Source organism: Homo sapiens, chromosome 20 (genome assembly GCF_000001405.40).
Source record: "Homo sapiens chromosome 20, GRCh38.p14 Primary Assembly".
In the NCBI taxonomy this organism is placed as follows: Eukaryota; Metazoa; Chordata; class Mammalia; order Primates; family Hominidae; genus Homo; species Homo sapiens.
In genome coordinates this window covers 37,667,385-37,684,031 of record NC_000020.11, presented here as the reverse complement: position 1 = coordinate 37,684,031, position 16,647 = coordinate 37,667,385, and the positions used below count along the sequence as shown (strand labels likewise).

Here is a 16,647-nt window from a genome sequence, read left to right as displayed (position 1 = left end):
AGAAAAAGAAAAGCTGGTCAGGCTCAGTGCCTCACACCTGTAAGCACCTGGGAGGCCGAGGCAGTGGATCACCTGAGGCCAGGAGTTCAAGACCAGCCTGGCCAACATGGTGAAACCCCATCTCTACTAAAAATACAAAAATTAGCTGGGTGTGGTGGCGGGTGCCTATAGTCCCAGCTACTCAGGAGGCTGAGGCAGGAGAATCGCTTGAACCCGGGAGGCAGAGGTTGCAGCGAGCTGACATTGAGCCACTGCACTCCAGTCTGGATGACAGAGTGAGACACTATATCAAAAAAGAAAAAAAGGCTGGGCACGGTGGCTCAAGCTTGTAATCCCAGCACTTTGGGAGGCCGAGACGGGTGGAACACCTGAGGTCAGGAGTTCGAGACCAGCCTGGCCAACATGGCGAAACCCCATCTCTACTAAACATACAAAAATTAGCCGGGCGTGGTGGCATGCGCCTGTACTCAGGACGCTGAGGTGAGAGAATTGCTTGAACCTGGGAGGCAGAAGTTGCAGTGAGCCAAGATCACACCACTGCACTCCAGCCTGGGTGAAAGAGCGAAACTTCCTCTAAAACAAAACAAAACAAACACCCAAATAACTTGAGTCTTTACTCCAAAGAGCAGAGGGAAGCCATCAGCGGGCTTTAAGTCAAAGACTGTGTCTAATAGAAGAGATGCTGCCAGCGCCTCGTCGCCCACACCCCCGACCCTCACAATTAAGTGTGCACTGGGCAGACTTCCAATTGCCAGCACTGCGTCTTTTTTTTTTTTTTTTTTTTTTTTTTTTATTTTAAGACAGAGTCTTACTCTGTCACCCAGGCTGGAGTGTAGTGGCGCAATCTCGGCTCACTGCAACCTCTGCCTCCCTGGTTCAGGTGATTCTCCTGCCTTAGCCTCCCAAGGAGCTGGGATTACAGGCACCCACCACCACTCCCAGCTGATTTTTGTATTTTTAATAGAGACGGGGTTTCACCATGTTGGTCAGGCTGGTCTTGAACTCCTGACCTCAGGTGATCCACCTGCTTTGGCCTCCCAAAGTGTTGGGATTACAGGCGTGAGCCACTGTGCCCAGCCCACTGTGTCTCTTTACCTAAAGACTTTCTTTAACAACTCTGGAGCACACTCTTCCCGCCTGTGAAGCAGGTCAGAGGTGCCTGAGAATGAACACCCCTGCCCCCATAGGACCTAGTAGATAAATACCCTGCTCCCCAACTCCGCAGGCAGGAGAACTCCGAGGTGTTATTCATGGGCTCCCAGAGGTCTGGTGGAATCAAGCCCCCGTTATCCACAGTGTAACCTGCTCGATAACCCTTTTCCTGGCTGCCTACCCCTCCCTGTCTTCCTTTCCCACTCCCCTACTTCCAAGTGTTTCCTGGGATGGCCATGCAAATAAATTCTGTACATCCAATTCCTTATCTCAGGCTTTTAGGTGAACTCAAATAAGAGAGTCTGTAAGAAGAAGAATGAGTTTGCTGGCGCAGTGGCTCAAGCCTGTAATCCCAGCACTTTGGGAGGCCAAGGCGGGCACATCACCTGAGGTCAAGAGTTGAAGACCAGCCTGGCCAATATGGTGAAACCCTTTATCTCTACTAAATATACAAAAATTAGCTGGGTGTGGTGGCGCACGCTGTAATCCCAGCTACTTGGGAGGCTGAGGCAAGAGAACCACTTGAACCTGGGAGGCGGAGGTTGCAGTGAGCTGAGATCACGCCATTGCACTCCAGCCTGGGCATCAAGAGTCTGTCTCAAAAAAAAAAAAGAAGGAGGAGTTTGAGAGCAGCAGGGGAGGATGGGGTAGAATAACTGTCGAGGCAGGAAATGCTTGGGGACTTGGACTGAGTAACGTTGGACATAGAGGAAACGGCAGGTGAAATCAGTAGGACCAAGGGATGTAGCGGATGTGCAGGGAAAGGAAGAGGATGATGCGACAGCTGCCTCCTGGGCTTTTGTCCTCCCTAGAAGAGAGGGGAAGAAGAAGGGTCAATAATACATATGTTAATTTTTTTGTGCGTGTCACAGAACAGCTTGTAACCACCAGATTTTCTGGAACTCTCTTCTGTCTTCTCGCCCTGCCTTGACTCATCAGACTCTAGAACAACGTAGCTGCCATCATCTGGGGAAGCCTGCATTTTCTCCTGCAGGGCAGGATCCAATAACAGTGTTCTCATCCAATAAAGGAGGCTGGCGCACAGGGACAAAATATTGAATTAAAAACAATACCAGAGTCGCTGAGCTTGCGCCACCCCTGAACTGCCTGTGCATGCCTTTGCTCTGCAAATTGGTAATGGGAGCCCCAGGGAAATACTGTTCAGGAGAGGGGGTGGAAGACAGGTACACAGAGCAGGGAAGCAAAGTCAACTCTTAGCCACAGTTGGCTGAGCCAATGCCAGGGAGTACAGCATGAATTCAGCAACCAGAAATCCAACCCTGAGCTCTGGGCCCTGGCCTTGGTGCTGGCTCCGTGAATCTGCCTTCCAGAGGCAGGAGGATGCAACGGTTACACACACAGCTCTGAGCTCAGGCCTGAGATGCAGCCTGCTTCCACCACACTGGTTGACTCTGTGACCTTGACTAACTCCTTAGACACTCGAATCTTAATTAATTAATTAATTAATTATTTTATTATTTTATTTTTTTGAGATGGAGTCTCACTCTGTCACCCAGGCTGGAGTGCAGTGGCCTGATCTCAGCTCACTGCAAACTCTGCCTCCCAGGTTCAAGCAATTATCTGCCTCAGCCTCCCAAGTAGCTGGGATTACAGGTGCCTGCCACCATACCCGCCTAATTTTTTGTATTTATAGTAGAGGTGGGGTTTCACCATCTTGGCCATGCTGGCCTTGAACTCCTGAACTTGTGATCCACTTGCCTTGGCCTCCCAAAGTGCTGGGATTACAGGTGTGAGCCACCACGCCTGGCCTCAAATCTCAATTTTTTGTGGTTGTTCCACATGCTAGTGCTACTCTCAGCACTTATTTAATCCTAACATCCTCTCTATTTCCATTTTACAGATGATGGAGCCAAGGCTCAGAGGAGTTAAGTAACTTGTCTGGGTCACACAGCCAGGTGTAGTCAGATTTCGGACCAAGGCAATGTGACCGATACACATGCCCTCCGCTGTGGTCCAAATGTTTGTGTCCCCTGAAATTCATATGTTGAAACCTTATCCCCAGTGTGATGGTATTAAGAGGTGGGGGCCTTTAGGAGGCTTGACACCCTCTTTATTTCTTCTATCAGCCAGAATACTTTAGGCTGCAAAAATGAAACCACCAATCCAGCTGGTTAACAGTGAGAAAAATGTATCAACTCAAAGATTAAGTTCTGTGGTATGGTGGCTGTAGCAGTCATTCATTCAGAGGTTTAATGATGTCCTTCCTATCTTCCCACTGAGTCATCACCCATGTATTAGTTCCATCATGTAGTCACAAGACGGCTGCCACACTTCCAGGCATCGTGCATGCATGTGACCATGTCCTGCAAAAGAGGAGGGGCTTTCTCTTTCAGAAAACAAACCAAAAAAGCTGGGCACAATTGCTCATGCCTGTAATCCCAGCACTTCGGGAGGCTGAGGTAGGCAGATTGCTTCAGACTAGGATTTTGAGACCAGCCTGGGCAATATGACAAACCCCACCCCCCACAAAAAAAAATACAATAAATTTGCTGGGTGTGGAGGTGCACACCTTTAGTCCCAGCTACTCAGGAGGCTGAGGGGGGAGCATCACCTGCATCCGGGAGTTGAGGCTGCAGTGAACAGTGATTGTGCCTCTGCAGCACTGGGTGACAGAGTGAGATCCTGTTTAAAAAAAAAGAAAACAAACAAACAAAAAGTCTTTTCCAGAAGCCCCTGAGCAAACATTCCTCTTATTTCATTCAGCAGAATTGTTCTCATTCCTGTTTCCAAACCAGCCACTCACAAGGGAATTAGAACCTCATGAATGGCTTGGTAAAGCCCATGGCTCTTTGTAGAAGGATAGATTACCACCTCCCCCAAAATGGTGGCTCTATTAGAAAGGAGAGGCCAAGTGCAGTGGCTCATGCCTGTAATCCCAGCATTCTGAGAGGCTGAGGAGGGCAGATCGCCTGAGGACAAGAGTTCCAGACCAGCCTGGCCACATGGTGAAACCCCATCTCTACTAAAAATGCAAAGATTAGCCAGGTATGGTGGCAGGCGCCTGTAATCCCGGCTACTTGGGAGGCTGAGGCAGGAGAATTACTTGAGCCTAGGAGGCAGAGGTTGCAGTGAGCTGAGATTGCACCATTGCACTCCAGCGTGGGTGACAAGAGCAAAACTGTCACACTGTCACACACAGGAAAAAAAAAATAGAAAGGAGAAAGGGGACAGTGTCTGGTTTTGGGTAAGCAAACAAAAATGTATGCAAATCCTCTCTATTTCTCTTCTCACTCCCAAAACCCTCTCTTCCTAAATTGTTGCCTTATTTTTCTATCATTTAACATTTTACTCCCCCTTTCAGGACCAACTGAAATGTCACCTCTGACAGGCAGCCTTCCCTGACTTCCTCCTGTCGGATTAATTGCTGTCTTCACTGTGCTTCCAGGGAACATGGCACATGCTGCTACTTCTGTGGCTTTTCTTTTTTTTTTTTTTTTTTTTTTTTTTTTTTTTTTTTTTTTTTGAGATAGAGTTTCGCTCTTTTTGCCCAGGCTGGAGTGCAATGGTGTGATCTCGGCTCACTGCAACCTCCGCCTCCCGGGTTCAAGTGATTCTCCTGTCTCAGCCTCCCGAGTAGCTAGGATTACAGGTGTGCACCACCATGCCCGGCTAATTTTGTATTTTTAGTAGAGATGGGGTTTCACCATGTTGGCCAGGCTGGTCTCGAACTTCTGACCTCAGGTGATCTGCCCGCCTTGGCCTCCCAAAGTGCTCAGATTGCAGGCGTGAGCCACCATGCCCAGCCCTGTGGCCTTTTTATCACTTGATTGTGGAGAGAGGTCAGGCTTTAGAGCAACTGGACCCAGGTTCAACTCCCAGGTCTTTCACTTACTTCATGGGGCACTTGGATATGTCATTTCTCCTCTTCAAGCTTCGGTTTCCTCCTCTGTAAAAATGTATGTTCTTTTTAGGGCAGTTTGGAGAATCAAGGTAGACAGTGTGTCTGTGATTATTGTCAAGGGAGAGAGGGAAGCAAGAAGGAAGGAAAGAAATGATCAGACTGTCCCAGAAAAAAGTCAACTCTCAGCAAAAAAAAAAAAAAAAAAAGCAAAAGTCACTCCAAGGTGCTGACCAGACAGCCCCCTCACCCTGAATGAAGTTCCCCTCCCCCGGGTTCTCCCAAGAAAGTCATTTTTCATCCCCAAAGTCATTTGGCTTAGAGACAGGGGAGAGAGGCAGTGGCAGGGTCTGTATTGTGCCTGCCCTGCCACCATCCATCACCCAGCCGACAGAAACTCACCTCCCACAAATAAAGTTATGACAAGCGTCCCCAACCCATTCTTTCAGCCGTCGCCTCCCTGTTTCCATCATCTTTGACATTATAAGCCATCAGCCAAGCTGTTTGTCATGCCTCTGACAGGGCCTTGGCGATGTGGGCAGGAGGGCTGTGCTGAGGTATGGCTGGACTCCAGGGTGCATGTCCTACCCTCGCCCGACATTGGTGATCTTGAACTATGTCACAGGTGCTTTCAAAAAGGGTTTCTCCCCTGTGGGGCAGGAGTCCAGAGGTGGAGCAGAACTGGAAGGGAATATTTGTTCATTGATTCATTCAGCAAACATTAGTGAACACCCGTACTGTGCCTGAACCTGTGCAAGGCACAGCTGCAGCCACAAAGAGGGGCCAAACACAGTCTTTGCCCTTGCAGAGTGCCCAGTCCAGTGGGGAAGTAGAGAGCAAGCCATGTCAACAGACAGTGCCAGCACGTCTGTGGCACGGGCAGTCCAGGAAACTGGGAGCACAGAGAAGGGTAGAAAATCAGGGAAGGCTTCTTGGAGGAGGTGCCATTTGAGCTGAGAGCCACAGGACAAGGAGGAGGCAGTAAGAGCAATTCTTTGAAAATGTCTCCTTTCTTCTCTGCAGATATGTCCACTTACAAGCACCAAAGGGCAAAGTTGAGAAACTGTTTGGGAAAGAGAAGAGCATCATGTTCCAGGCAATGGAACAGCATACACTAAGCCTCTGGACTTGTTTCCCAGGGCTGCAGTCACAAATTACCACAAACTTGGGGGCCTAAGACAACAGTCGTGTATTCTCTCACAGTTCTACAGGCCAGAAGTCTAAAATCAAGAGATCAGCAGGGTTGGTTTTCTGGAGGCCCTGAGGGAGAATCAGTTTCATGCCTCTTTCCCAGCTTCCAGCGGCTGTGGGCAAGCCTAGGTGTTCCCTGGCTTGCAGATACATCTCTCCTGTCTCAGCCTCTGCTCCCTATATTCACATGGCCTTTCTCTGTGTCTGTGTCTCAACTCTCTCTCCTTTCTCTGATAAGAACACCCGTCATTGGATTGCGAGCTCATCCTAAATCCAGGATGATTTCAACTTGAGATTCTCGACTTAATCACATCATTAAAGACCCCATTTCCAAATAAGATCACATTCACAAGTACCTGGGATTAGGACTCTGACCATTCTCTCTCTCTCTCTCTCTCTCTCTCTCTCTCTCTCTCTCTCTCACAGGGTCTCACTCTGTCGCCCAGGCTGGAGTGCAGTGGCGCAATCTTGGCTTATGAGAGCCCAATCTGTGATAGATGCCAAATGCTTAACCCAGCACTTGGCATGCAGGATGAAGTGGTGAAAGTTTACTGAGTGAAAATTGGCTCCTTGAGTGAGGAAAGGAAAAAAGGAAAGAGGGGCAGGTGAGGGAAGTTGGTGTGAGGACTGGCAGGCGCTAAGCAACTGTTGTCATGAAAAGGGCCTGCAGGCTGGCACAGCAGCTCCAGTCTCAGAGGGGAGAGGAAGGTCTCTCAGGGGGCATCCTCTCCACCTCCACACACCTGCAGCCCCCTGCTTGCCAAGCAACTGTATCTGTTCTGCGTGAGGCTTCATCCGCCGCGGTAGACCTGAAGATGGGCTGATTTTAGTTTTCCACCAGGTTGGTTCCCAACCCACGGTGCTTGCCTGGGGTCCTGAGGCCAGGTGGCCCCTGGAGAGGCAGCAGAGACAGCTCAAGTCCTGAAGCAGAGGCTCTCTCCACTGTTTGTAGAATCTCAGAGTTCTAGAATCTTGGAAGTGAGAATCAGCATTCCAGGACCAGCCATGAACACAAAACTGCGAACAACTCTAGAGTCTTGGATCGAGGGAGTCTCTTGTTTAAAGGATCTCAGTGTTTTCAGGCTAGAAAGGGCCAGGCAGCCTCTTCATTTGAGCTTCTGTCTCCCTGAACTCTGACCCTAACTATGTGGCCTGGATGCAATGACCATTTTCGTCTAAACAGGGCGGACAAACCCCCAGGCTGCCAGGTCCCAGGCGTGGAGTCAAGAGCACACAGGAAGAATCCAGGAGGACTTAGGAGGCGAGGTTTCCTGGGCAGAAGAAATGGCAGGAGCACAGGTGTCACAGATGGAAAGAGCAGTGTGTGTGTAGGAATGGGATAAGGAGCAGTAGTTATGGTGGGAGGGACTGTATTAAAGTACGTAAGAGCTTCCAATGAAATAATACACACGTGAAGCACCTGACAGGTGCATTGCAGATACTCAATAAATGCTACTTCCCTTCCCCTTCTCTTCTGCTCACAAATCTCTATTTCCTGCATTTCTGCGTTACCCACATTTATACTGAGGAGTTCTGAGAAATGAAAAGATTTTCTGGAAGGGAGACACAGGACCAATTTCCCCCACCCAGAGACAATCACCTATCACAATGGATAGGGGCTGTGTCCTCAATATAGGCCAAGACTCTCTGCAGGGAGGATGGCTGACTGATTGCAGAGAGAAGCCCAGGAACAGGATATTTGAACTGGGTTTTGAGAGTAGGAGAGGAGTTTCCCCCGCAGAGAAGGTGGTGGTGAGAAGAAAGGAATTCTATGCAGTTTCTGTGACTGTTAAATGAATGAATTGCTAAGATCTCTGGACTTTCTAGTTTATACTTTAGAAATAATTCAAGCAACTACCCAACTTTGCAAATGGAAAAACTGATGGACATGGGCATATACATGCAATTTCACACTTTATCTCCCATTACCAAAATCCCCAAGCTGAGAAAACAAAGAGAATAACAATGTGTCCTGAGCCCTCAAGGTAGACCTTGAGATGGAGAGAAATTTCCAAGAGTTTGGGGACAAAATGAAGAAAAGAAGAGGGTTTTTAATAAAGCTAAATTTATTTCACTTAAAAGACTGTCTTTATTCTGAGGTCATGTTCTTCCTACTCTGGGAGTGTTTTAAATGTCCTTTCATTTATGAAATCATGGAGATAGTAAATGGCCATTCATAGTTGAATTGTTTTTTGTTTTTATTTGGCAAAATAGTTAGCAACCCTATATTAGTTCTCAAAAAAAAATTTTATATTGTATAGTCCCTGAAACCTCACATTTTCAGAACCACTGAGTCACAAGGCATTGGTGGCAGAAGATGTGTATATTCCTTCTCAACAATTTGGGCTGTGCTCAGGGGTCACCTATCAAGAGTGACCCTCCCTGATGGCCCTGCCTAAAGCAGGTCCCCTCCTTTTCCCTATGTTTTCTTTCTATTCCATCTCCCTTGTATTAGTCCACTGTCATGCTGCTAATAAAGACATATTCGAGGCTGGTTGTGATGGCTCATGCCTGTATTCCCAGCACTTTGGGAGGCCGAGGCGGGAGGATCACAAGGTCAGGAGTTCGAGACCACCCTAACCAACATGGCGAAACTCCGTCTCTACTAAAAATACAAAAATTAGTTGGGTATGGTGGCACGTGCCTGTAATGCCAGCTACTCAAGAGGTTGAGGCAGGAGAATTGCTTGAACCCAGGAGGCAGAGGTTGCAGTGAGCCGAGATCGCACCATTGCACTCCAGCCTGGGCGACAGAGCGAAACTCCTTCTCAAACAAAAACAAAAGTAAAAGACATATTCTAGACTGAGTAATTTATAAAGGAAAGATGTTTAATTGACTCACAGTTCAGCATGGCTGGGGAGGTCTCAGGAAACTTACAATCATGGCAGAAGGGGAAGCAAACATGTCCTTCACATGGTGGCAGGAAGGAGAAAATGAGAGCAAGCAGGGAAATTGCCAGACGTTTATAAAACCATCAGATCTCATGAGATTCACTCATTATGAGAAGAGCATGGGGGAAACCACGCCCGTGATTCAATTACCTCCACCTGGTCCCATCCTTGACAAGTGGGGATTATTACAATTCAAGGTGAGATTTGGGTGGGGACACAGAGCCAAACCATATCACCCCTGTTTCTTTCTTTTAGAACACTTATCACTCTCTGAAGGCATCTTACTAATTTGCACCTACGTTTATTTATTTCTGCCTTCTGAATTTGAATATAAGCAGCGTGTGGTTAGGGGCCATGTTTGTCTTGCTCACACACTCTTCCTGGCACCTAGCACAATTCTTGGCACAGAGTAGGTGCTCGGGAAGTGTTTGTTGAGTGAATAAAGGAAGGAAAGAATGGCCATGGAGCTTGAGGACTCAGGCTGTGTGCAGCAGGGATAGTAGAGTGCAGTAGATGCTGTGAGTGCCACCATGCTACAGCCTTGTGCCCCACCTCTGACCTCAACTGCAGCTGGGCTACACAGCTCCCATGCATGCTGGCAGATTCCCACCTCAAGTGCCTGCCTAGTCTCTCAGCTTTGCAGCCTCAAGGCTGTCTTGGAAGTCCTGGTCCCTGGTTCTGTGACCCATAGGCACAGCTCAGAGGTGTGGAAAGTTAATGACCTACCTCGGGTAATGCTTATCCCTTGGGGGAATAGCAGTTAGAGGATAAATGCCCCAGCCTTCTATCCTCTGGGTGAACAATTCTGAGATGACTTCTGCATAATACTCAGAGGCTATTTGCACAATCAAATCCCAATTATCCACTGCAGCAACCAGCTCCTTCCTTGTCTTGCTCTCTTGGTTCCCTCGCTTCTACTTCCTATGAGCATCTCCCAGATAAAATATGTACCCAAGCATGTACTCAAGTCTTTGTTTTAGTCTCTGCTTTTCAGGGAACCCAACCTAAGACAGGCTGCGCCAGTTCCTTGCATCTCTAAAATTCCCTTTCACTCATTCTCCTCTCCGAATCCCACAATCCACCCATCCTGCTGTTCCCATTTGACTTCTAGAGAAATGCCCCCTCCCACAGCCCTCTGAACTTCTCTGGCAGACAGGCTGGCAGGCCTTCATTGTCTTCCAACACAGCCCCAGTTCTGGGAACTTGTCTGGGCACTTGAGGGTCCAGGTGCTTTGGAGGCAGGAAGGGAGGGAAGGGGCCTCTCTAAATGAGTCTGTAATGATTAAACCATCTGCTGTCCCCTGCGCTCCTCTCTGCCTTTTGATCTTGGGCTGAGACATGGCCCCCAATCCATTATCTTCTCTTTTATCTCTTGGCCTCCCACTCTGCAGCCACCTCAGCAGAAACACTGATATGGGCTGAAACAGGAAAATCCAATGTGGATGCTGAATTTTACAGTCTACAAAGAAGCTTACAGGCTTAGCATTATTTAGAAAGCATTTTCTTATTTACACATCATTTCTTTAGTATTATTATTATTGATGTTGTTTCTTTTCTTTCTTTCTTTTTTTTTTTTTTTTTTTGAGATGGAGTCTTGCTGTGTCACCCAGGCTAGAGTGCAGTGGCGTGGTCTCGGCCCACTGCAACCTCTACCTCCCGGGTTCAAGCGATTCTTCTACCTCAGCCTTCCTGAGACTACAGGTGCATGCCATCACGCCTGGCTAATTTTTGTATTTTTAGTAGAGATGGGGTGTCACTATATTGGCCAGGCTGGTCTCGAACTCCTGACCCCGTGATCCGCCCACCTCAGCCTCCCAAAGTGCTGGGATTATAGGCGTGAGCCACTGCGCCTGGCCTAATGTTGTTTCATACAAACATTTGTTAACCCCAGGGAGCAATTCATTCCCTTATGCCTCTTCTCTTTTGCTAAATGAGAGTAGAATCTGGCTAGACAAGCCATGTAATCAAAAGACATTCATTCATTCATTAACCTTTGGGCAGCTTCTCTGTATCCAAGCCCTGGGGATACAAGGCAGGGCCCTTCCCAACAGGAAGCTTGTCGCCTGGTAGGGAAGTGTATGGGTCAGTGTCTAACCAGGAAACACTTGAGTATTTACAAAAGAGGAACTTTAATCCAGGGAATGGAAGGTGGCAGAAGGTCTGAGAAGACAACTGGACATGGCAAAGCAGCCCAAAGACGAGTAATAGCAAGAGGCTGCCACCACCCCAGCCCAGGAGGAGGGTCACTTGGTGGAATATGGGACCACGGTGGAGCTCCAGGAGAGCTAGAGACATGGAGGAGACACAGCCACTGCTGGAGATGCTGCCCAAGATGGAGAGGAGAAATACCTGGACTTCTCCCTTCCTTCTGCCCTGTAGCCCCCCACCGGCGCCTCCCATTGGCCAAACCCAGCCCCCTGGAATACAGAGCAGAGGGGCAGAAGGGTAAGAACCAGGGATAGGTGGGTAAGCAGATGATACTACATGAGAAGGCTGAGGACTGGGTAGGAGCACAGTGCTGGAGAACACAAGGAAAGAATTGTGGCTTTGCCAAGAGATGTCAGAATACTGGACAATCAAGTCATTTGGCGCTGGGCTTTGAAGGATGAGTAGGAGTTTGCTGAGCATCAAGGTAGAAGGGTGTAGTCCAAGTAGTAGGGGTAACATACACAAAGTGTATCAACTGAGGATGCTTTGGCTGTAACAGAAAATCCCCACTGCCAGGTCTATACCTTTGCTGGTTCCTCTTCGTAGGATGCTCCGCCCCCTCACTCTGGCCCAAATTCTTCTTCTTGCCCCAAATGCCACCCCTTCAGTCACCTGTTCCTAAACCTCAGAGCTGGAAGCCACGGTTCCAATGTACCCTCACAGCCTTGGCATTTGCTGATGTGCCAGTGAGGGCCTTCCTGACTCACTTTTTCTATCAGCCGGGAGCTCCAATCTGAGGGAGCTGTGCTTTCTGCACCTCTCTGCTCCCTGTCAGAGCCTAGCACTGGGGCAGGCACCTGGTAAGGGCTAATGAATGCATGCTGAATCCATAACCAAATACATTAGTAAGTGAATCAATAGATAAATACATTCATGCTATTCCCTCTGCCTGGACTCACCACATCTGCCGTAACAGTACCCCTTTTCATTAAGTTCATGTATCAGCTTCCATGCTAAATTGCACGAGGGACCTTACTGAATCTTCCCTAGCAATCCAATAGGCGGCTGCCATTATTATTTTCATTTTACGGAGGAGGAAACTGAGGCTCAGAAAAGTTAAACAACTTGCTAAGGTCATCCAATGCTTAAAAGGATAAGCAGGATGGAGGCTTGACCTTACTAGCTGTGTGAACTTGGGAAAGGCATTTCAAGACTTTGAATCTCAGAGTCTCAAGACTCAGAAGAGCTCCCTCCAAGCCCAGCCTCCTCTGGGTCTACCTAGGCCTCCCACAGTTAACTTGTCTGTGCTCCACCACCATCAGAAATAACAGTAATAATAATAGCATCTTATGTGAACTGGGTGTTTATCGTGGGTCAGGGACTGAGCTCAACACTTTACACCGACATCCTCTGCATCCTCTTTACATGGAAAACACTGAGTCCCCACGGCAATCCTACAAGATGAATGTTCTTAGCTTCATTTTGCAGATAAGGAAACAGAGGCTTGAGAATCAGGAGTCAATAGTAGAATCAATCAGTCAAGAAGTTAACAAATACTGTTGAGCATCTCTGTGCTGGGCATTGCTAGATGCTAGGAACACGTGACCAGGACAGCCATGGGACCTACTCCCACGGAACTGACTATTGGGAGAAACAGACCCTGAACAACTAATTAGAAACCATTGTGTGAACACCCACAGTGGGCAAGGTGCTATGACCAAGCCCATCCTGGTTGTAACAGAAGGTGTGTGTAATAGGAGAAGCTAACCTTGTCTGGGGACCAGGAAAGGCTTCTTGGAGGAGGTGACAGTTAAGCGGGGGTTCGAGGATGAGCAGGTGTTATTTAGACCCCATGTCACAAACTCTCACCTCCACAGGGCCTGTGATCAAAAGTCTGTCCACACTGCATGTCCAGGTTGGGCCAATACCCCAGCATCTCCTGAACACCCTAACTCTGGCTGGCCATGCTCTTGGCTGGGACGGTGCAACTGGCCCACTGCTGGGCCTTGCGATAACTCCAAGGCTACTGTTGATGAGAGATTCCTGCCGGGGCCAGAGCATCTGGAACACATTCAGCCCCTCACGAGCCAGTTCCTTCAGGAGCTGCCCGGCGGGCACGGAGCCTTGTCCTCTAAGCCCTGCTGGCTGCCTGGAGCGTTGGCACACGGTCAGGAAGAGGCGGCTGGGAGGGGAGGACGAAGAGAATTCGATTTTCATTTTGCTCTTGGTTCCCTGTTTCCAGTCCAGATGCCTCCAGATCTAATTCCGAATAAATAATTGTACTGAGTAACCCGGGTCCCTTGGTGATTAAGTAAACACGCTGAGGCGGGTGGAAATTGAATTAGTGCGGTGTGCTCAGCCGTTATTACCCGCCCCTTCTCATGAATATTAATGAGGGGTTATTAAGAAATGTAAATGCTGCCTCAGGGGGTTGGGAGATGGGGAGGGGGTCAGGGTTAGAGGACAGACCGTTCAGAAGTCAGCGTGATTGAAGGCATTTTAAAAATTATGTCAGATCTTTCTCTTCTGCACCGTGGCAATGTTTCCGGATGCTTCATTTTTATTAAAACGAGGGTAAGGGAACAAATTTTAATTCGAGGATAAAATTAGCATTTTCCAAGCAGCCTTGTCAGCGGCAAGGACATATTTTGCCAGAAAATGGACATTTGGGGCGGGGCGGTGCGAGGTTGGGGGAGCCTGCGCTGATGGACGATTAGTTCCCTCGGTTCATCTCCAGGCAAGGGAGTAAACAAATTAATCTCTGAGCAGAGAGCAGCCTGGAAGATGATGGAAGCCTGTAGGATCCAGAAGTGTCTTTGCTAGGAAGCCAGGGGGTGTCACCAAGAGCTAAGATGGCCTTACTGCTGCTCAGAGAGGTTAAGCACTTGTCTGAGGTCACACAGAGGTGGGTGCTCCGGCTGGGTTTTGTGGGCAAGGTGAACGTAGAGAATGAGGCTACTTCTCCCAGGCGAGCTCTAGACAGAGATGCAGCCTCTGCTTCCCCATCTCTCTCACTTGACCTTTAGGCTCCCTGGATAGCTCACCTCTCTGGCTCCAGCTTCTGCCCTCACAGCCCCTTCCCAATCTCTGCTGCCAGGCTCACTTCCCCACTTTCACCACAGCTTGTTTCTGCTCCACCGCAGGCTTTAGTGACTCACTATTGCCCCTAGGCTGAAGATCAGACTCCCTCTGACATTCAAGTCCCCCCAGGATCTGACCACACCTCCTTTTCCTGTGTAAGCTCCTGCCACTCCTTGCAGCTGCAACCAGATGTACCAAGGAAGGATGAGAAGAAAGTGAGAAGAAGGGGAATAAAAGAAGGTGAGAAGACAGGGAAAAAGGAGGAAGGAAGAAAAGGAGGGAGAAAGGTAGGGAGAAAGGAAGAGGAAACAAATGTTAAGTACCAAAATATCCCAGATTTGCTCAATATTTTATATTGTAATGATGTGGTGATGTGATAATGATGATAATGACAATTGCTGCCATCCACTGAGTGCTCAGCCTGTGTTAGCCACTGGCTCAGCGCTCTTTCATCCTCCTGCACTGTCCCTAGAAAGTAGATGTTATCTCCACTTTACAGAGGAGGAAACTGAGAGTCCTGTAGGTAAAATGATTTGCTCCAGGTCCTACACATTATAAATTATAAATGATAGAACCAGCCTGTTGGACATCAAAACCTGATTTTTTTTTTTTTTTTTTTGAGATGGAGTCTTGCCCTGTCACCCAGGCTGGAGTGCAGTGGTTCAATGTCAGCTCACTGCAACCTCCACCTCCCAGGTTCAAGCAATTCTCCTGCCTCGGCCTCCCAAATAGCTGGGACTACAGGTGTGAGCCACCATGCCCAGCTAAATTTTGTATTTTTAGTAGAGAGGGGTTTCGCCATGTTGGCCAGGTTGGCCTTGAACTCATGATCTCAGGTGATCCGCCTGCCTTGGCCTCCCAAAGTGCTGGGACTATAGGCGTGAGCCACTGCTCCGGGCCCAAAACCTGAATTCTTCACTACTGCTCCTCCCACCTCATGTGGGCAGTTATTATTATCCCTATTTTACAGATGAAGACAAAGAGGCTGGAAGAAATAAGCAGCAGCAAGAGGAATCAAAATTCTCTAAACTCGCCTTATTCCATCTTTATAAGCACCTCTTCCAGAGAATACAGGGAAAATTCACTGAACAACCTCATCCCTGCTTCCTGCAGTGGATGATGTCAGACACCCCAGGAGAAACTCACAGGATCTCGGAGACCCAGCCCCCGGTAGTGTCCACCAGATGAAGCCTGCAGGTTGCCACCGCTGGTTCCCATAGGCCTCCTCACCCTAGGCCATGAGCCCCAGGCCTGTCAAATGAAGCTCAGATGTGGGACCCAGGGACTTAGCCCCCTATGCTCCGGACAGGAAAGAGTGAATATGATCAAACTCATGCATTTTAATGACTTCTTCAGCACGCCTCGCTCCACCCGCTCTCAGTCTCAGGAATAAAGGCTGACAGGTGCAGCTGAGTTAATCAGGGTGGATAATAGAGGGAAAGACAGGAATCACTGGCCAAATTGCAGCAGAGAAAAATGGGGCAAAATCAGCCAGGTGCGATGGCTCACACCTGTAATCCCAGCACTTTGGGAGGCTGAGGCGGGCAGATCATGAGGTCAAGAGATCGAGACCATCCTGGCCAACATGGTGAAACCCCATCTCTACTAAAAATACAAAAATTAGCGGGGCGTGGTGGTGCACGCCTGTAGTCCCAGCTATTCCAGAGGCTGAGGCAAGAGAATTGCTTGAACCCAGGAGGCAGAGGTTGCAGTGAGCCAAGATCATGCCACTGCACTCCAGCCTGTTAACACAGCGAGACTCCGTCTCAAAAAAAAAAAGGGTTGGGGGGCAAAATTATGAGATGCAAGTCAAAAGTGTCCAATTAAAGTGTGATGGTGTTTAAAGGGCAAGAACCACGTTCTCAGACCCTAGGAAGTTCTAAAGCAACGCTTACCACAGGGGATGCATGGTCAAGTGGTACGTGGGATCATTTCTGGTGGTACCCAGATGACTGTCTTTTTAAATTTGAATAGACATTTTTAATGTGCATGAAAAATATGTAACTACAAAAATGTTAGCCAGGTGTCATGGCAGGCACCTGTAATCCCATCTACTTGGGAGGCTGGGGCAGGAGAATTGCTTGAACCCAGGAGGCAAAGGTTGCAGTAAGTTGAGATCACACCACTGCACTTCGGCCTGGATGACAGAGCGAGACTCCATCTAAAAAAAAAACATATATATATACAGTATCTAACACCTGTGGTTTGATGTATATTATTGCCTAGAATTAGTCTAAATTTTACCCAAAGATGGGATTTAATTGCTAGTTAATTAAAAGAAAAATATATTTTTAATTGCATAGACGAAAGATGAATATGGCAAAA

At 48.3% G+C, this 16,647-nt stretch overlaps 1 long non-coding RNA gene across 1 annotated transcript; it reads right to left on the bottom strand.

The window, feature by feature from the left end:
- Positions 1-797: 797 nt before the first annotated feature.
- Positions 798-7,122, bottom strand: LOC100287792 (uncharacterized). Its single transcript, NR_040021.1, has 4 exons — positions 6,946-7,122; positions 5,414-6,074; positions 5,006-5,116; positions 798-1,960 (listed from the first exon to the last, which is right to left on the bottom strand). It is a non-coding gene; the product is annotated as an uncharacterized LOC100287792 (long non-coding RNA).
- Positions 7,123-16,647: the final 9,525 nt, after the last annotated feature.